Here is a 21,346-nt window from a genome sequence, read left to right as displayed (position 1 = left end):
TTCTATCTTCTTTATGCTACTGAATTTTGAGATTTCTATTACAACACCTTGGCCTTCACACTAAGTAATCATGCTAAGTAATCCATTACTAAACTAAACCATGACTAGTTAGGCAAATCATGTGCAGTAGAATGAATGTTGGGGACTCAACCACATTAGACACTGTGTCTAATTTGCAAAATATATACAAGGGAGACATATTATAGGGGCCTTTACCTTATGGGAATTCAACTATATGGGTCCAGAGAAGGAGAGAGTAAGAACTATGGAAATAGAGTAATTCAGTCATTCTTTTTTGTTTTTGAGACAGGGTCTCACTCTGTCACTGAGGCTGGAGGGCAGTGGTGCAATCAGGGCTCACTGCAGCCTCAATCTCCCAGGCCCAAGTGATCCTCCCACCTCAGCCTCCCAAGTAGCTGGGAATACAGATGTGCCACCATGCCTGGCTAATTTTTTAACTTTCTGTAGCAACGAGGTCTCTCTATATTTCCCAGGCTTGTCTTGAACTCCTAGGCTCAAACAATCCTCCCATCTTGGTCTCCCAACGTGTTGAGATTACAGGTGTGAGCCACTGTGCCTGGCAATTCAGTCATTCTATTCAAGGAACATATGCCCTGGATTGTACATGAGATAGGAGACAAGTATCTACTATTCCTTCTATGTCAATTTCATAGTTGCTGCTTCCAGTATGAACCTTTGACTCACTGAGTTTATTTCTAGTGTTTAGAACCACAGTATGCATTTTTTCACATAATATACACCCTAAATGCAAGGCAACTAATTAATCTGGTTCTCAATCAAGAATAACCACTATGTTCTTTTTTTTATTTTTTATTTTTTGAGATGGCATCTCACTCTGTTGCCCAGGCTGGAGTGCAGTGGCTTGATCTTGGCTCACTGCAACCTCCGACTCCCGGGTTCAAGCGATTCTCCCTGCCTCAGCCTATAGCTGGGATTACAGGCATGTGCCACCATGCCTGGCTAATTTTTGTATTTTTAGTAGAGATGGGCCCAAGAATAATCATTATGTTCTAATATTAAAGGGATCATCTTGGCCAGGAGCGGTGGCTCATGCCTGTAATCCCAACACTTTGGGAGGCTGAGGCGGGCGTATCACCTGAGGTCAGGAGTTCGAGACCAGCCTGGCAAACATGGTGAAACTCCATCTCTACTAAAAATACCAAAATTAGCTGGGTGTGGTAGCAGGCACCTGTAATCCCAGCTACTCAGGAGGCTGAGGCAGGAGAATCGCTTAAACATGGGAGGCAGAGGTTGCAGTGAGCCAGGATCGCGCCACTGAACTCCAGCCTGGGCGAAAAGAGTGAAACTCTGTCTCAAAAAAAAAAGGGATCATCTTGAAGGATTTAAACTATTTGCAAATTTTATCATAATTGCTGACTTTAAAATTTTAATCCCGTAATAAGATTCAAGTCCACCATATTAGCTGCAATAATGAGAGTTATAGGGGTAGGCAGAGAGGCTCACACCTGTCATCTCAGTGCTTTGAGGGGCTGAGGCAGGAGGGTCGCTTGAGGCCAGGAGTTTGAGACCAGCCTGGGCAACATAGTGAGACTTCGTCTCATAAAAAATCAGCCAGGTGCGGTGGCTTATGCCTACAATCCCAGCACATTGGGAGGCCAAGGTGGGTGGATCTCTTGAGGCCAGGAGTTCAAGACCATCCTGGCCAACATAGTGAAACCCTGTCTCTACTAAAATTACAGAAATTAGCCAGGCGTAGTGGCACATGCCTGTAATCCCAGCTACTCAGGAGGCTGAGGCACAAGAATTGCTTAAACGCAGGCTACCTTCTTTGGGTCCCCTCCCTTTGTATGGGAGCTCTGTTTTCACTCTTAAATCTTGCAACTGCACTCTTCTGGTCCGTGTTTTGTTATGGCTCGAGCTGAGTTTTCGCTCACCGTCCACCACTGCTCTTTGCCGCCATCACAGACCCGCTGCTGACTTCCATCCCTCCGGATCCGGCAGGGTGTCTGCTGTGCTCCTGAGCGCCCATTGCCGCTCCCGATTGGGCTAAATAAAGGCTTGCCATTGTTCCTGCATGGCTAAGTGCCCGGGTTCGTCCTAATCAAGCTGAACACTAGTCACTGGGTTCCACGGTTCTCTTCCGTGACCCACGGCTTCTGATAGGGCTATAACACTCACAGCATGGCCCAAGATTCCATTCCTTGGAATCCGTGAGGCCAAGCACCCTTGGTCAGAGAACACGAGGCTTGCCACCATCTTAGAAGCGGCCCACCACCACATTAGGAGCTCTGGGAGCAAGGACCCCCCGGTAACATTTGGCAACCATGAAGGGACCTCCAAAGTAATGGGAAACGTTCCCCCCAAGGCAAAAACACCCCTAAGATATATTCTGGAGAATTGGGACCAATTTGACTCTCAGACACTAAGAAAGAAACGACTTATATTTTTCTGCAGTACCACCTGGCCATGATATCCTCTTCAAGGGGGAGAAACCTGGCCTCCTGAGGGAAGTATAAATTATAACACCATCTTACACCTAGACCTCTTTTGTAGAAAAGAAGGAAGAGTGAAGTGCCATATGTACAAACTTTCTTTTCATTAAGAGACAACTCGCAATTATGTAAAAAGTGTGATTTATGCCCTACAGGAAGCCCTCGAGTCTACCTCCCTACTCCGGTGTCCCCCCAACTGCTTCCCCAACTAATAAGGACACCCCTTCAACCTAAACGATCCAAAAGGAGATAGACAAAGGGGTAAACAATGAACCAAAGAGTGCCAATATTCCCCAATTATGCCCTCTCCAAGTGGTGGGAGGAGGAGAATTTGGCCCAGCCAGAGTACACGTACCTTTTTCTCTCTCAGACTTGAAGCAAATTAAAATAGACCTAGGTAAATTCTCAGATAACCCTGATGGCTATATTGATGTTTTACAAGGGTTAGGACAATCCTCTGATCTGACATGGAGATATAATGTTACTGCTAAATCAGACACTAACGCCAAATGAGAGAAGTGCCATCATAACTGCAGCCCGAGAGTTTGGCGATCTCTGGTATCTCAGGTCAATGATAGGATGACAACAGAGGAATGAGAACGATTCCCCACAGGCCAGCAGGCAGTTCCCAGTGTAGACCCTCACTGGGACACAGAATCAGAACATACAGATTGGTGCCGCAAACATTTGCTACCTTGCGTGCTAGAAGGACTAAGGAAAACTAGGAAGAAGCTTATGAATTATTCAATTATGTCCACTATAACACAGGGAAAGGAAGAAAATCCTACCGCCTTTCTGGAGAGACTAAGGGAGGCATTGAGAAAGCACACCTCTCTGTCACCTGACTGTACTGAAGGCCGACTAATCTTAAAGGATAGGTTTATCACTCAGTCAGCTGCAGACATTAGAAAAAACTTCAAAAAACTTAGAAACCCTGTTGAACTTGGCAACCTTGGTTTTTTGTAATAGAGATCAGGAGGAGCAGGCAGAACGGGACAAATGGGATAAAAAAAAGGCCACCGCTTTAGTCATGGCCTTCAGGCAAGCGGACTTTGGAGGCTCTGGAACACGGAAAGGCTAGGGAAATTGAATGCCTAATAGGGCTTGCTTCCAGTGCGGTCTACAAGGACACTTTAAAAAAGATTGTCCACATAGAAATAAGCCGCCCCCTCGTCCATGCCCGTTATGTCAAGGGAATCACTGGAAGGCCCACTGCCCCAGGGGACGAAGGTCCTCTGAGTCAGAAGCCATTAACCAAATGATCCAGCAGCAGGACTGAGGGTGCCCAGGGCAAGTGCCAGCTCATGCCATCACCCTCACAGAGCCCCGGGTATACTTGACCATTGAGGGCCAGGAGGTTAACTGTCTCTTGGACACTGGCGCGGCCTTCTCAGTCTTACTCTCCTGTCCTGGACAACTGTCCTCCAGATCTGTCACTATCCAAGGGGTCCTAGGACAGCCAGTCACTACATACTTCTCTCTCAGCCACTAAGTTGTGACTGGGGAACTTTACTCTTTTCACATGCTTTTCTAATTATGCCTGAAAGCCCCACTCCCTTGTTAGGGAGAGACATTCTAGCAAAAGCAGGGGCCATTATACACCTGAACATAGGAGAAAGAACACCCATTTGTTGTCCCCTGCTTGAGGAAGGAATTAATCCTGAAGTCTGGGCAACAGAAGGACAATATGGACGAGCAAAAAATGCCCATACTGTTCAAATTAAATTAAAGGATTCTGCCTCCTTTCCGTACCAAAGGCAATACCCGCTTAGACCCAAGGCCCAACAAGGACTCAAGAAAATTGTTAAGAACCTAAAAGCCCACGGCCTAGTAAAACCATGCAATAGCCCCTGCAATACTCCAATTTTAGGGGTATAGAAACCCAACAGACAGTGAACGTTAGTGCAAGATCTCAGGATTATCAGTGAGGCTGTTGTCCCTTTATACCCAGCTGTACCTAACCGTTGTACTCTGCTTTCCCAAATACCAGAGGAAGTAGAGTGGTTTACAGTCCTGGACCTTAAGGATGCCTTTTTCTGCATCCCTGTACATCCTGACTCTCAATTCTTGTTTGCCTTTGAAGATCCTTCAAACCCAATGTCTCAATTCACCTGGACTGTTTTACCCCAAGGGTTCAGGGACAGCCCCCATCTATTTGGCCAGGCATTAGCCCAAGACTTGAGCCAGTTCTCACACCTGGACACTCTTGTCCTTCAGTACATGGATGATTTACTTTTAGCTGCCCTTTCAGAAACCTTGTGCCATCAAGCCACCCAAGCGCTCTTAAATTTCCTTGCCACCTGTGGCTACCAGGTTTCCAAACCAAACGCTCAGCTCTGCTCACAGCAGGCTAAATACTTAGGGCTAAAATTATCCTAAGGCACCAGGGCCCTCAGTGAGGAATGTACCCAGCCCACACTGGCTTATCCTCATCCCAAACCCTAAAGCAACTAAGAGGATTCCTTAGCATAACAGGCTTCTGCCAAATATGGATTCCCAGGTATGGTGAAATAGCCAGGCCATTATATACACTAATTAAGGAAACTCAGAAAGCAATACCCATTTAGTAAGGTGGAAACCTGAAGCAGAAGCAGCTTTCCAGGCCCTAAAGAAGGCCCTAACCCAAGCCCCAGTGTTAAGCTTGCCAACGGGGCAAGACTTCGTATATATCACAGAAAAAACAGGGATAGCTCTAGGAGTCCTTACACATGTCTGAGAGACGAGCTTGCAACCTGTGGCATACCTGAGTAAGAAAACTGATGTAGTGGCAAAGGGTTGGCCTCATTGTTTATGGGTAATGGCAGCAATAGCAGTCTTAATATCTAAAGCAGTTAAAATGATACAGTGAAGAGATCTTACTGTGATCTCATGATGTGAACGGCATACTCACTGCTAAAGGAGACTTGTGGCTGTCAGACAACCATTTACTTAAATATCAGGCTGTATTACTTGAAGGGCCAGTGCTGCGACTGTGCACTTGTGCAACTCTTAACCCAGCCACATTTCTTCCAGACAATGAAGAAAAGATAGAACATAACTGTCAACAAGTAATTGCTCAAACCTATGCCACTTGAGGGGACCTTTTAGGGGTTCCCTTGACTGATCCCAACCTCAACTTGTATACTGATGGAAGTTCCTTTGTAGAAAAAGGACTTCAAAATGCGGGGTATGCCTCAGTGATAATGGAATACTTGAAAGTAATCCCCTCACTCCAGGAACTAGTGCTCAGCTGGCAGAACTAATAGCCCTCACTCGGGCACTAGAATTAGGAGAAGGAAAAAGGGTAAATATATATACAGACTCTAAGTATGCTTACCTAGTCCTCCATGCCCATGCAGCAATATGGAGAGAAAAGGAATTCCTAACTTCCGAGGGAAGACCTATCAAACATCAGGAAGCCATTAGGAAATTATTATTGGCTGTACAGAAACCTAAAGAGGTAGCAGTCTTACACTGCTGGGGTCATCAGAAAGGAAAGGAAAGGGAAATAGAAGGGAACTACCAAGCAGATATTGAAGCAAAAAGAGCTGCAAGGCAGGACCCTCCATCAGAAATGCTTATAGAAGGACCCCTAATATGGGGTAATCCCCTCTGGGAAACCAAGCCCCTGTACTCAAAAGAAGAAATAGAATGGGGAACCTCAGGAGGACATAGTTTCCTCCCCTCAGGATGGCTAGCCACTGAAGAAGGAAAAATACTTTTGCCTGCAGCTAACCAATGGAAATTATTTAAAACCCTTCACCAAACCTTTCACTTAGGCATTGATAACACCCATCAGATGGCCAAATCATTACTGGACCAGGCCTTTTCAAAACTATCAAGCAGATAGTCAGGGCCTGTAAAGTGTGCCAAAGAAATAATCCCCTGCACTGCAGGCCATGCATTTCAATCCCTGTATCTCTAACCTCCTTGTTAAGTTTATCTCTTCCAGAATCGAAGCTGTAAAACTACAAATCGTTCTTCAAATGGAGTCCCCGATGCAGTCCATGACTAAGACCTACCGTGGACCCCTGGACTGGCCTGCTAGCCCATGCTCTGATGTTAATGACATCAAAGGCATCCCTCCCAAGGAAATCTCAACTGCACAACCCCTACTATGCCCCAATTCAGCAGAAAGCAGTTAGAGCGGTCATCGGCCAACCTCCCCAACAGCACTTGGGTTTTCCTGTTGAGAGGGGGGACTGAGAGACAGGACTAGCTGGATTTCCTAGGCCGACTAAGAATCCCTAAGGCTAGCTGGGAAGGTGACCACATCCACCTTTAAACACAGGGCTTGCAACTTAGCTCACACCCAACCAATCAGGTAGCAAAGAGAGCTCGTTAAAATGATAATTAGGCAAAAACAGGAGGTAAAGAAATAGCCAATCATCTATCGCCTGAGAGCACAGCAGGCATTCGAGCCGGCAATGGCAACCCTCTTTGGGTCTCCTCCCTTTGTATGGGAGCTCTGTTTTCACTCTATTAAACCTTGCAACTACAAAAAAAAAAAAAAAAAAAAAAAAAGAATTGCTTAAACGCAGGAGGTGGAGGTTGTAGTGAGCCGAGATTGCACAACTGCACTCCAGCCTGGGTGACAGAGCAAGAGTCTGTCTCAAAAAAAAAAAAAAAAAATTATATATATTAGCCAGGCATGGTGGCACACAACTGTAGTCTCAGCTACTCAGGAGGCTGACGCGACAGGATTGCTTGAGTCCAGGAGTTTCAGGTTATAGTGAAATATGATCATACCACTGTACTCCAGCCTGGGTCACCCTGTGAGGGACAGCATTAGGACAAATACCTAATGCATGTGGGGCTTAAAACCTAGATGATGGCCGGGCACGTTGGCTCACGCCTGTAATCCCAGCACTTTGGGGGCCAATGTGGGCAGATCACAAGGTCAGGAGTTCAAGACCAGCCTGGCCAATATGGTGAAACCCTGTCTCTACTAAAAATACAAAAATTAGCAGGGCATGGTGGTGCGCACCTGTCGTCCCAGCTACTTGGGAGGCTGAGGCAGGAGAATCACTTGAACCTGGGAGGTGGAGGCTGCAGTGAGCCAAGATTACGCCAATGCCCTCCAGCCTGGGTGACAGAGCGAGACTCCATCTCAAAAAAAAAAAAAAACAACTTAGTTGATGGGTTGATAGGTGCAGCAAACCATCCTGGCACATGTATACCTATGTAACAAACCTGCATGTTCTGCACATGTATCCGAGAACTTAAAGTAAAATTAAAATAAATAAATAAATAAAACAAAATAATCAGAGTCATAGGATCCAAGGCTTGGATGGATCTTAAATATCAATCTAGCCTCAACCAATTATATGACTTTAGAGCTTCCTACAAAAATAAATATTTGTAGATATTCCTATAAAAATAAATATTTATAGATAGTGACAAATTGAAGAGCTCTTCCCATGATTCTACTCCAGCATTTTCTCCTACACTTCTACATCTAGACATATGTTTTTCCTGCCAGTAAGCTAGTTACCATTGTTTACCTGGGAAACTTCTCCTTCAAGAGTCAGGTCAAAGATCCCACTTTCTGTGATGAATACCTCTAAGTGATCTAGGCAGTCTTAGGTATTCCTTCCTCTCATTACCATTATACCTCTCTTGGTTCATCTACCGTGGCACTTAATTACAATTATCTTTTTGCTTAATTACTCTATAGAGCTTCTTGAAGGCAGAAAAGGTGATTTATCTTAAAGACAACGCCAGTAAGCAGAACCTACATATCTTTTAATGTTGGGTGATGATATATGCACTATTACTTCATAGTGAATTAATGATGCTACACATCCAAATTCATTTTTGGATGCTAGAATATTTGAGTTTAAATGAAGGATTCTAACATGCTCTGAGAAATCACCAGTCTGTCCTTTCATTCTTGGGAGCTTCCACCTTGTATTCTGTTTTCAACTTTGACTTCAGTAAAGAATGAAATATGGAATACTGACATGGTTTGGATTTGTGTCCCTGCCCAAATCTCATGTCGAATTGTAATCCCCAATGTTGGAGAAGGGGACTGGTGGGAGGTGAATGGATCATGGGGCCAGTATCCCCCTTGCTGTTCTCATGATAGTGAGTGAGATCTGGTTGTTTAAAGTGTATAGCACCTCTCTGCTTGCTCTCTTCCTCTTGCTCCAGCCATGTAAGATGTGCCAGCTTCCTCTTCACCTTCTGCCGTGATAGTAAGTTTCCTGAGGCTCCCCAGCTATGCTTCCTGTACAGCCTGTGGAACCGTGAGCCAATTAAAACTCTTTTCTCTAGAAACTATCCAGTCTCAGGTAGCTCTTTATAGCAATGCAAGAAGAGACTAACAAAGAAAATTGGTACCAGGAAGGGGGTATTGCTATAAAGATACTAAAAAATGTGGAAGCAGCTATGGAACTAGGTAATGGGCAGAGGGTGGAATAGTTTGAAGGGCTCAGAAGAAGAAAGGAAGATGAGGGCAAATTTGGAAATTCCTAGAGACCTGTTGAATGGTTGTGACCAAAATGCTGATTGTGAAATGGACAGTGAAGTCCAGGCTGAGAAGGTCTCGGAGATGAGGAACTTATTGGCAACTAGTGTAAAGGTTACTTGTGCTATGCTTTAGCAAACAGACTGGGGGCATTGTGCCCCTGCCCTAGAGATCTGTAGAACTTTGAACTTGAGAGTGATGATTTAGGGTATCTGGTGGAAGACCTTTCTTCTTTTTTTTGAGACAGAGTGTCACTCTGTCACCCAGGCTGGAGTGCAATGGGGCAATCTCAGCTCACTGCAACTCTGCCTCCTGGGCTCAAGGAATCCCCCTACCTCAGCCTCACAAGTAGCTGGGATTACAGGTGCACACCACCACACACAGTGAAATTTGTGTGTTTTTGCTAGAGCCAGGGTTTTGCCATGTTGCCCAGGCTAGTCTTGAACTCCTGAACTTAAGCAATCTGCTCACCTTGGCCCACCTCATAACCTTGGCCTCCCAAAGTGCTGGGATTACAGGGATGAGCCACTGCACTTGGCTGGTGGAAGAAATTTTTAAGCAGCAAAACACTCAAGACATGGTCTGGCTGCCTCTAGCAGCCTATGCTCATATTCTTGAGCAAAAAAAAAAAAAAAAAGACATAAAACTGGAACTTACATTTAAAAGGGAAGCAGATTATAAAGGTTTGAAAAATTTGCAGCCTGGTCATGTGGCATAAAAGAAAAAAAAGGCCAGGCGTGGTGGCTCACACCTGTAATCCCAGCACTTTGGGAGGCCAAGACGGGTGGATCATGAGGTTAGGAGATCGCGACCATCCTGGCTAACACGGTGACACCCCGTCTCTACTAAAAATACAAAAAAAAAGAAAAAGTTACCTGGGTGTGGTGGCAGGCACCTGTAGTCCCAGCTACTTGGGAGGCTGAGGCAGGAGAATGGCATGAACCTGGGAGGTGGAGGTTGCAGTGAGCCGAGATCGCGCCACTGCACTCCAGCCTGGGCAACAGAGTGAGACTCTGTCTCAAAACAAAAAAAGAAAAAAACAAAACTTTTTCAGGAGAGGAATTCAAGCCAGCTGTAGAAATTTGCATATGTAAAGAGGAGCCAAATATTCATAACCAAGATAATGGAGAAAATTCCTGGAAGGAATTTCAGAGACCTTCACAGTAGCTCCTCCCATCACAGGCCTGGAGGCCTAGGAGGAAATAATGGTTTTGTGGGACAGGTACAAGGCCTCACTGCTCTGTGCAGCCTCAGGTCATAGCACCCTGCATCACGGCCACTCCAGCTCTAGCTATGGTTAAAAGGGGCCAAGGTACAGTTCAGGCTGATGCTTCAGAGGGTGCAAGCCATAGGCCTTGGTGGCTTCCATGAGGTGTTAAGCCAGTGGGTGCACAGAGTGTGACAATTGAGGCTTGGGAGCCTCTGCCTAGTTTTTAGAGGATGTATGGAAATGCCTGATGTCCAGGCAGAAGTCTGCTGGGGGTGCGTAGCCCTCATGGAAAACCTCTACAATAGCAGTATGGAGGGCAAATGTGGGGTTGGAGCCCCTACACAGAGTCCCCACTGGGACAGTGGTTAATGGAGGTGTGAGAAGAGGGCCACCATCCTCCAGACATGAGAATGGTAGATCCACCAACGGCTTGCACCATGCACCTGGAAAACCCGCAGGCACTCAATGCCAGCCCACGAAAGCAGCCACAGGGGTTGCACCCTGCAGAGCCACAGAGGCAGAGCTGCCCAAAGCCTTGGGAACCCACCCCTTGCATCAGTGTTACCTGGATGTGAGACATGGAGCCAAAGGATATTATTTTGGAGTTTTAAGTTTTAATTACTGCCCTGCTGGGTTTCAGACTTGCATGGGCCTGTAGCTTCTTTGTTTTGGATAATTTCTCACTTTTGGAATGGAAGTATTTAGCCAATGCCTATAACCCCATTGTATCTTGGAAGTAACTAACTGTTTTTGATCTTATAGGCTCATAGGCAGAAGAGACTTGCCTTGTATGAGATGAGACTTTGGACTGTGGACTTTTCAGTTAATGCTGGAATGTGTTAAGAATTTGGAGGATAGCCGGGCACGGTGGCTCACGCCTGTAATCCCAGCACTTTGGGAGGCTGAGACGGGTGGATCATGAGGTCAGGAGATCGAGCCAATCCTGGCTAACACGATGAAACCCCGTCTCTACTACAAATACAAAAAAAATTAGCTGGGTGTGGTGGCGGGCGCCTGTAGTCCCAGCTACTCAGGAGGCTGAGGCAGGAGAATGGTGTGAACCTGGGAGGTGGAGGTTGCAGTGAGCCAAGATGGCACCACTGCACTCCAGCCTGGGCAACGGAGCGAGAGTCTGTCTCAAAAAAAAAAAAAAAGAATTTGGAGGACTGTTGGGAAGGCATGGTTGTATTTATTTGTTTATTTTTTTGAGACGGAGTCTCACTCTGTCACTCAGGCTGGAGTACAGTGGTGCAATCTCAGCTCACTGCCACCTCCACCTCCTGGGTTCAAGCAATTCTCCTGCCTCAGCCTACCAAGTAGCTGGGATTACAGGGGTGCACCACCATGCCCAGCTAATTTTTATATTTTTAGTAGAGACAGGGTTTCATCATGTTGGCCAGGCTGGTCTTGAACTCCTCACCTGAAGCAATCCATCCACTTTGGCCTCCCAAAGTGCTGGGATTACAGGGGTGAGCCACTGCCTGGCATGGCTGTAATTTGAAATGTGAGAAGGACATGAGATTTGGGAGGGGCCAGATGCAGAATGATATGGTTTGAATTTGTGTCCCTGACCAAATCTCATATCGAATTATAATCCCCAGTGTTGGAGAAGGGGCCTGGTGTGAGGCCACTAGATCATGGGGCCAATATCCCCCTTGCTGTTCTCGTGATAGTGAGTGAATTCTCATGAGTTCTGGTTGTTTAAAAGTATATAGCACCTCCCCACTCTCCTGCCTCCTGCTCTGGCCATGTAAGACATGCCAGCTTCCTCTTTGCCTTCTGCCATGATTGTAAGTTTCCTGAGGCCTCCCTAGCAATGCTTCCTGTACAGCCTATGGAAACCTGAGCCAATGAAACCTCTTTTCTTTAGAAACTAACCAGTCTCAGGTAGTTCTTTATAGCAATGCAAGAATGGACTAATACAAATACTGTTCACTTTTACTAACAAATTTAAACATTTCTACATTTTAAAATTGGCCTTTTCATAAATTGTTAGTAATACTAAAATACGGTACAACCCCCAAAAAGGGGAATTTGGCAATATCTAACAAATCTACATTTACATTTACTCTTTAAGCACAATCTCAGTTCTAAAAATTTACCCTGGATATACACTTTCAACAATACAAAAAAAAATGTACATGGTTATTCAATGTAGTATTGTTTATAGTACTAAAATATTGAAAGCAATCGAGTACCCATCCCTTAGGACTAAAGTGAATAAACAATATTACATTCACAAAGTTGGTTACTATACAGTGGTAAAAAAGAAAAAGACATATCTCTATGAACTGATATCATGATTTTCTGTATATATTAAGTGAACAGAATATAAAGAAGTAAGGCATGCTACCTTTTGCGTATGGAAAATGGGAAAAAAAGAAAAAAAATTATTTATATATGTATTTTTGTATTTGCTTATTTTTTCCAGAAAAATACAAAAAAGGATAAACCGGAAACTAATACAAAATAATTACCTACATGGAGTGAGGTGGGAATGTGATGGAAGAGATAGGGAGGTGAATAAGACTTTCTAAGTGTATCTATGATATGGTTTGGATTTGTGTCCCTGCGCAAATCTCATGTTGAATTGTAATCCCCAGTGTTGGAGGAGGGACCTGATGGGAGGTGACTGGATCATGGATGTGGATATCTCTCTTGCTGTTCTGGTGATAGTGAACAGCAAGTGACTGTCATAGTTTGAAGTTTGAATTCTGAATCATGTAAATATTTTACATGATTCAGAAAGTTAAAATCAAGACAGACAGGAAATGGGAGGCATCTAAAATTGTATGCCAACAGAAACAAATAAACCAAATTCCGTATGTCAAATTGACAACATTAAAAATGATCATTAATTTCAGTGACTTTTTCTTTCTTTTTCTTTGAACTTCTTCTTCTTCTTCTTTTTTTTTTTTTTTTTGAGACAGTGTCTCATTCTGTTGGCCAGGCTGGAGTGAAGCTCACTGCAGCCTTGACCTCCTGGGCACAAGTGATCCTCCCATCTCGTCCCTCGTCCTCCCAAAGTGCTGGGATTACAGATGTGAGCCACTATGGCTGCCCACAACTACTTCCAAATTATTTAGTAAAAATAATTATGAGAAGGAGAGAAGAGGGCCACAGAGGACTAGATAAAGCAAATGTGGCAGAATGTTAACAACTAGTGAATCTGAATTGATGGTATGCAACTGTTTATTCTATTTCTTTTATAATTTGTTGGATCACAGTTTGAAAATATTCAAATTCAAGAAGTTCAACAGAGGCCTTTCTTACTTTGCTATAAAGAAATACCTGAGATGGTAATTTATAAACAAAAGAGGTTTAATTGCTTCACAGTTCTGCAGGCTGTACAAGCATGATACCAGCATCTGCTTGACTTCTGAGGAGGCCTTAGGGAGCTTTTACCCATGGCAGAACGTGAAGTGGGAGTAGGCATGTCATATGATGAAAGCAGGAGCAAGGTTGGGGGAGGTACCACACACTTTTAAATAACCAGATCTCTTGACAACTCACTCACTATCACCAAGACAGCACTAAGTTATTCATGAGGGAACTGCCCACATGACCCAATTACCTCCCACCAAGCCCCACCTCCAACATTGGGGATTACATTTCAACAAAAGATTTGGGTGGGGACAAATATCCAACTATATCAGCCTTCCACAACAACCAGCTTTAGAAGGTGAATAGGAAAACAAAAGCAAAAGCAAACAAAAACACAAGGAACAGCTAGGAACAGCTCATCAATCTTTCCTTAAGAAGAACTGTCTTGAGCAGAAGAAACTCTAGCCTGGTCAATTGTACAATTCTCTGAGAATCAACAAAAGTTATAGAGAACATTCTTGGGACACTGGGGAAATCTGAAGACAGACTGTATATTAGATATTATTGTATCGGCCGGGCGCAGTGGCTCACGCCTGTAATCCCAGCACTTTGGGAGGCCGAGGCAGGTGGATCACGAGGTCAGGAGTTCAAGACCAGCCTGGCCAAGATGGTGAAACCCTGTCTCTACTAAAAATACAAAAATTAGCCGGGCGTGGTGGCATGTGCCTATAATCCCTGCTACTCAGGAGGATGAGGCAGATAATTGCTTGACCCCAGGAGGTGGAGGTTACAGTGAGCCGAGATCGTGCCACTGCACTCCAGCCTGGGCCACAGAGCGAGACTCCATCTCAAAAAAAAAAAAAAAAAAAAGATATTATTGTATCAATGATAATATCCTTGTTTTTGACAATAGAATTGTAGTTATAGAGGAGAATATTCATGTCCTTAGGAGAGAAATACTGAAATGTCGTATCTGTGATTTATTGTCAAATGACAGGGGGACAAAGTGTGAGTGTATGTGTGTGTGTGTGTGTGTGTATGTGTGTGTATGTGTGTGTGTGTTTAGAGTGAGAAAAGAAACAAACATGGTAAAATGTTAACAACTTGAGGATTTAGGTAAAGGATATATGGAAATGTATTATATTATTCACATAACTATTCTGTAGGTTTAACATTTTTCAAAATAAAAAGTTGGGGTAAACATTTCCATAGTTCCTTTAGTTTTCTTTGTGTGGCTGCTAATTGGTTTTTCTTTAATTTTATACTTATATTTTTATACCTTCATTCTTGACCCCTTTCAGTCTAACAAAAAGGACACATGAATGATGATCTATGCATGTTTCCATATAGAAAACTCTTCTATAATAAGATAGTTATTGCCTTAGGATAGAAATGAGCAAGGGCAGTATAAAACAGAAGGAAAGTATGGGCTTTAGAGAAAGAACAACTTATGCTCAAATTTTGGTTCCAAAAATTATTAGTTATGTGACCCTGGAAAAGTTATATTTGACTAGGTACATACTAGTTGTTTTAATGACTGGTAAAGATTTTGGAGTTTATACTAATTATTATTTCAGGATACTGCTTGAAGACCTTACATTTTCTTACGTTTCCATTCTGTAATCACTACAAAATCTGCTCTGTCCTTTTTTAAACTAATGAAAAAGGAATTATAACATTAACCTATCTCAGAGGGAATGTTAAAAAGGATAAAAACAGTTTGTTTAATGACATTTATAATGAAAATTTCAATTCAGCAAACATTTATTGAGTTCTTGCTTTACTGGCACTGTGTTAAATGCATAGTTCTTGCTAACCTTAGGGAGTTTACCACTTAGTGGGGGAAACAGATCCTCATTATAATACAAGTGAACTGTGCTAAGTGCTATAATAGAGGCACAGAGTATTAAATAAGGGAAGGGAGTAAGCATCTCATTCTCAGAAGGATTAAGAAAATGCTTCATAGAGGAGATAATGCAAAAGCCAAGAATAGAGGAATGTATAAGATTTCATCAGATACAGAAGGAAATAGTTTTAGCAAAGGTGCAGAGGAAAGAAAGATCATGACAGGTTTGGAAGATAAAAAGAATTTGATATGGAATAGCTAGGTCTTCAAATATGTGTTATGAAATATAGGAGAGTGAAAGGATAACTTGGAACTGCATAATTAAAAAAAAACACACAAAAAAACAGATCCAGCACTTTGGGAGGCCAAGGCAAAAGGATCACTTGAGCCCAGGAGTTTGAACCAACCTAAGCAACAGAGTGAGACCCTGTCTCTACAAAATATTAAAAAATTAGGCCGGGTGCAGTGGCTCACGCCAATAATCCCAGCACTTTGAGAGGCCGAGATGGGCAGATCACCTGAGGTCAGGAGTTTGAGACAAGCCTTGCCAACATGGTGAAAGCCATCTTTACTAAAAATACAAAAGAAATTAGCCGGGCGTGGTCACACACACCAGTAATCCCAGCTACTCAGGAGGCTGAGGCAAGAGAATCGCTTGAACCCGGGAGTCAGAGGTTGCAGTGAGCCAAGGTCACGCCACCGCATTCCAGCCTGGGCGACACAGCAAGACTCTGTCTCAAAAAAATAATAAAAATAAAAATAAAAAATAAAAAATTAGCCAGGTATGGAGGCAATTGCCTGTGGTCCCAGCTACTCAGGAGGTTGAGGTGGGAGGAACGCTTGAGCCTGGGAGATCAAGGCTACAGTGAACAATAATGGCGCCATTGCACTCCAGCCTGGGGGACCAAGTGAGACCCCATCTTTAAAAAAAAAAAAAAAGGAGCACCACTTTAGGCCAGGAGTTTGAGACCAGCCTGACCAACATAGACAGACTCTGTCTCTACAAAAAATAAAAATAAATTAGCCAGGCATTGTGGCACATACTTCTACTTCTAGCTAGTTGGGATGATAAGAGCAGGCTGGAGGATCGCTTGAATCTAAGAGGTTGAGGTTGCAGTGAGCTATGATTACAACCCTGCACTCCAGCTTGGGAGACAGTGTTGTGGATATAAGAGGATAACAATATGTAGTAGAAAGAAACAGGAAAGCAAGTTACAATCTGACCTGAGCTTACTGTTTGCTTTCACACGTTTATAGCTCTGTGCCTACACAAGTTATATAACTTCTCTGTGCTTAAGTTTCTATAAAGAATGAGGTTGGCCAGGCACGGTGGCTCACACTTGTAATCCCAGCACTTTGGGAGGTCAAAGCAGGCGGATCACCTGAGGTCAGGCGTTCGAGACCAACCTGGCCAACATGGTGAAACCCCACCTCTACTGAAAATACAAAAAAATTAGCCAAGTGAGGTGGTGGGTGCCTGTAATCCCAGCTACTCGGGAGGCTGAGGTAGGAGAATCGCTTGAACCTGGGAGGCAGAGGTGGCAGTGTGCCGAGATCACGCCCTGCACTCCAGCCTGGGTGACAGAGCAAGACTCCGTCTCAAAAAAAAAAGAATGAGGTTAATGGTAATATTAACTCATATGGTCTTATGTGGGAAAAATAGAAATATACAGCACTAAAGCCATTTCTGAAGGGAAATGGATCTCTCAAGTGTGGAAGCCATGTAAGTTTGTGCTCCAGTATAACTTAAACCACAGTCTGGATAACCTTTGTCAGACACATCACTGTCCCACATAAGTATCTTTGATGGTTAATTTTATGTGCCAGCTCAACTGGACTACAGACTGCCCAAATTAAATATTATTTCTGGGTTTGTCTGTGAGAATGTCTATGGATGAGATTAGTATTTAAATTGGTGGACTCGGTAGACTACCCTCCCCTATGTTGGTAGGCATCATCCAATCCATTGAGGGCCTGAAAAGAACATAAAGCAGAGGAAGGAGAATTTGCCTCTTTTTTTCTGCCTCACCATTTTAACTGGGACATCTCATCTCAATTTCTTCTGCTCTTGGACTGGGATTTAAACCTTCAGCTCCCGGGGTTTTTAGGACTTCAGACTTGCAGACAGCAGATCACGGACAAGTCAATTTCTTATAGTAAACCTGATTTTATATATATGTATCTCCTACTAGTTCTGTTTTTCTGGAGAACCCTGACTAATACACTAGCTAAAGTGGTTATGACTTATTAACTGAATACAATATAAACTAAGTTCTGCATATATAGATGCTCTATTAACCACACCACCACCTATTCTTCCCATTTTCCAACTTCACTCTGATGGAGCCATTTGGTTCAAGTAGGCTACATGATTTAAGGCTTCTTATTCCTCAGTTTTCTTTCATTCTGTCCCTTCTATATCTCCATGCCCTCCTATTCTTTTTACCAATCTAGGTATATTCCATCCATTATGATCTAGGTTGGTAACTGGGTGTCACAATCATCAATGAGTGCATGCAGTTCAAAACCAAGGCATGAACAAAGAATATGTGTTAGGGCTCTCTTTCTATGTGGGGCCTAATTTTGTAGGCATAACTGTTTACAATGCAGAACAATGTGATAGACTATACAACCTACAAAGTTTCCTTAAACCAAATGCCAGATAAAAATAAACATCCTCTGAAATACATAGCTGAGCTTGCAGAAAGCAAAGGGAAATTCCCAAAGGCCAAAGTGAAGGGGGAGTTGGAAATCAAAATGGTGAACTGATATTGAAGTTACCCTAAGGCACTGCCATTTTCAGAGTCTTCCATTTTATCACACATTCTGAGACCCAAAAATTCCACCCGTGGGCAAATGAAAAAGATGAGGAAAGATTTCTGCTCAGTCATGGCTCTAGAGGGGAAAAATGTCTTCCCTGATAATTTATAACCATAAACCTGCTCATACATCAGTTTGGGGCTCAAATTTACACTATCAGCCCAGTTTTGGAAGCCATCAGTCAAAAAATTAAAAGTGATCCCAGATTGAGAGTAACACAGGATACAGAAAAGAAGCAAATATGAATCTTCCTTTATGGGACAGATCCCAAATGGCATAGTCTGATTATTCAGGGTTCCTACAAATAAAGTTCTAAAAAAAATTGTCAACTTAGAATACAAGACAAATTAAAATTAAAAAACAAGGACCTTTTCAGACAAATAAAAACTGGGAGAGATCACCAAGAAATCCTTACTGAAAGAACTTCTAAAGGATACTAATTTCTTTTTATGAGATGTAGTTTCACTCTTGTTACCCAGGATGGAGTGCAATGGCGCAATCTTGGCTCACCGCAACCTCCACCTCCCGGGTTCAAGCGATTCTCCTGCCTCAGCCTCCCAAGTAGCTGGGATTACAGGCATGTGCCACCACACCCGGCTAATTTTGTATTGTTAGTAGAGACGGGGTTTCTCCACGTTGGTCAGGCTGCTCTCGAACTCCTGACCTCAGGTGATCCGCCTGCCTCAGCCTCCCAAAGTTGAGGAGACGATGGGGTTTCACCATGTTGGCCAGGATGGTATCAATCTCCTGGCCTAAAATGAGCTGCCTGCCTTGGTCTCCCAAAGTGCTGTGATCACAGGCGTGAGCCACCATGCCCAGCTGGATACTGATTTTTCTAAAAGAAGAAATTGACCTCAAAAGATCTAAATTACAAAAATGAATAATAAGAAAGGCAACTGGTAGACACATGGGTAAATCTAAACATCTGATTCCAGCAATGTAAAGAAATCTCAGTCAAATCATTAGCTCATCACTAAGGTAAATTAGCAGACCTCAGAAGCCACAAACAAAGAATACAGACTTTATAGAACCACATAGGAACAAATAACTGCAAAAATAGCAACAACAAACCCTCAGAATGGGAGGGGGAGTTGATTTCCGGTGTTGCCACATTATATTATGTAAAATGTCCAGTTCTCAAAAAAAAAAATGAGAAATATAAACAAAACAACAAAGACATTAAGAAAGAAAGAAAAAGAAAGGCAGGTCCATATGGGGATTGGGGGAAACAGACAGTAGAAACTATCCCAGAGGAAGCCCAGACATTGGACTTACAGAGAAAGACTGTAAATCAGTGATTTTAAATATGTAATAGGAGCCAAAGGAAACCATGTTCAAAAGAACTAAAGGAAAGTATAACAATATCTTACCAAATAAAAAATATCAATAAAGAAATATAGATTGTTAAAAATAACCAAACAGAAATTCTGGGCTAGGTGTGGTGGCTCACCTATAAACCCAGCACTTTGGGAGGCCGAGGTGGGTGGATCACTTGAGGTCAGGAATTTGAGACCAGCCTGGCCAACATGGTAAAACCCTGTCTCTACTAAAAATACAAAAAGAGCTGGACATGGTGGGGTGCACCTGTAATCCCAGCTACACAGGAGGCTGAGGCAGGAGAATTGCTTGAACCTGGGAGGCGGAGGTTGCAGTGAGCTGAAATTGTGCCACGGCACTCCAGCTGTGGTGACAGAGCAATAGTCTATCCCCCCCACCAAAAAAAAAGAAAAGAAAAAGAAATTCTGGAGCTGGAAAGTACAATGATGGAAATAAAAATGTCACTACAGGGGCTCAACAGCAGATAAGAATCAACAAAATTGAAAATAGGTCAATTGAGATTATCCAGTCTGAGACAAAGGAAAGAAAAAAAATGAAGACAAAGAATATAGACTCAGAGACCTGTAGGACACCCTAACGCCTATCAATATATTCATAATGAGAGTCACAAGAAAAGGGAGATAGGAGTAGAAAGAATACTTGAAGAAATAATGGCTCTAAACTTCCCCAAATTTGATTAAAAAAACAATAATCTACATCTTCATGAAGCTCAATAAATTCCAAGTAGGACAAACTCAAAGATATCCATACCTAGACATATCATAGTTAAATTACTGTGATGTGTTTTGAAAGCAGTTAGAGAGAAGCAACTCAACAAGTCCAAGGGAGATCTAATAATGCTAATGGTTGATTTATCATTAGAAACCAATGAAGCCAAAAGGTGGTGGGATGGCATATTGAAAGTGCTGAAAGAAAAAGACGATTGATCAAAGAAATCTATATCCAACAAACTATTCTTCAAAAATGAAGGATCTACTTCCATCATTACATCATGAGGCGCTCCACTGACCCACTCCTATGTGAAAAATTATTAATAATAACGACAAAGAAAAACCCAAACCAAGAACTCAACAAAACAACAAAACAAAATCCCTAAAGCCTCTGGAAATGGTCCTAAGAGCAAATACCCAATGAATAAACGTGTATTCAACAAAATCTGGCTGGGCATGATGGCTCATGCCTGTAATCTCAGCATTTTGGGAGGCCAAGGTGGGAGGATTTCTTGGGGTCAGGAGTTCAAGACCAGCCTGGGCAATGTAGTGAGACCTCATCTCTATAAAAACTAAAAAAAATAAGCCAGGTGTGATTGCATGCCTGTGGTCCTTGCTACTCAGGAGGCTGAGGGAGGAAGATCCCTTTCACCCAGGTGGTGTAGACTACAGTGCGCCATGATCTCACCACTGCACTCTAGCCTGGACGACAGAGGGAGACTGTCTCCAAAAAAAAACAAAGAAAGAAAGAAAAAACTGTAAAAAAAAATTTGCTGCAATGGACTTAATATGTGTGTCCTTTAAAAATGTATATATTGAAACTCTAATCCCAATGTGATGTTATTTAGAGGTGGGGCCTGTAGGAGGTAACTGGGTCCTAAGGGTAGAGCCCTCATGAATGAGATTAGTGCCCTTATAAGAAGCCCAAAAGCTAGCTACCTCTCTTTCCACTATGTAAGGATACAAAGAGAAGTTGGCTGTCTGCAAACTAGAAGAGGGCTGATACAGTTTGGCTGTGTCCCCACCCAAATCTCATCTTAGATTTTTAACTCCCACAATTCCTGCATATTGTGAGAGGAACTCGGTGGGAGGTGATTGAATTATGGGGGTGGGTCTTTCCTGTGCTGCTCTCGTGATAGTGAATGAGTCTCATGAGATCTGATGGTTTTAAAAACG

General features: G+C 43.1%; 2 protein-coding genes across 26 annotated transcripts in view; one reads left to right on the top strand and one right to left on the bottom strand.

Moving 5' to 3' along the window:
* Window positions 1–21,346, top strand: part of RSF1 (remodeling and spacing factor 1) — a 212,224-nt gene that overhangs the window by 6,953 nt on the left and 183,925 nt on the right. The window lies entirely within an intron of this gene.
* AAMDC (adipogenesis associated Mth938 domain containing) overlaps window positions 1–21,346 on the bottom strand; it is an 84,881-nt gene that overhangs the window by 40,745 nt on the left and 22,790 nt on the right. For 5 of the 25 annotated variants that reach the window (XM_047426836.1, NM_001392033.1, NM_001392031.1 and 2 more), the window contains one exon: window positions 9,798–9,935. The exons of the other annotated variants lie outside the window; for them this stretch is intronic. In XM_047426836.1, the coding sequence (XP_047282792.1) occupies window positions 9,798–9,935 (138 nt within the window). The remainder of the gene's footprint in view (window positions 1–9,797; window positions 9,936–21,346) is intronic. 25 annotated transcript variants of the gene reach the window in all.

The sequence above is a fragment of the Homo sapiens genome, chromosome 11 (genome assembly GCF_000001405.40).
Source record: "Homo sapiens chromosome 11, GRCh38.p14 Primary Assembly".
NCBI classification, from domain to species: Eukaryota; Metazoa; Chordata; class Mammalia; order Primates; family Hominidae; genus Homo; species Homo sapiens.
Note: the sequence above shows the minus strand (reverse complement) of the source record. Positions and strands in the feature narration are given on the sequence as shown.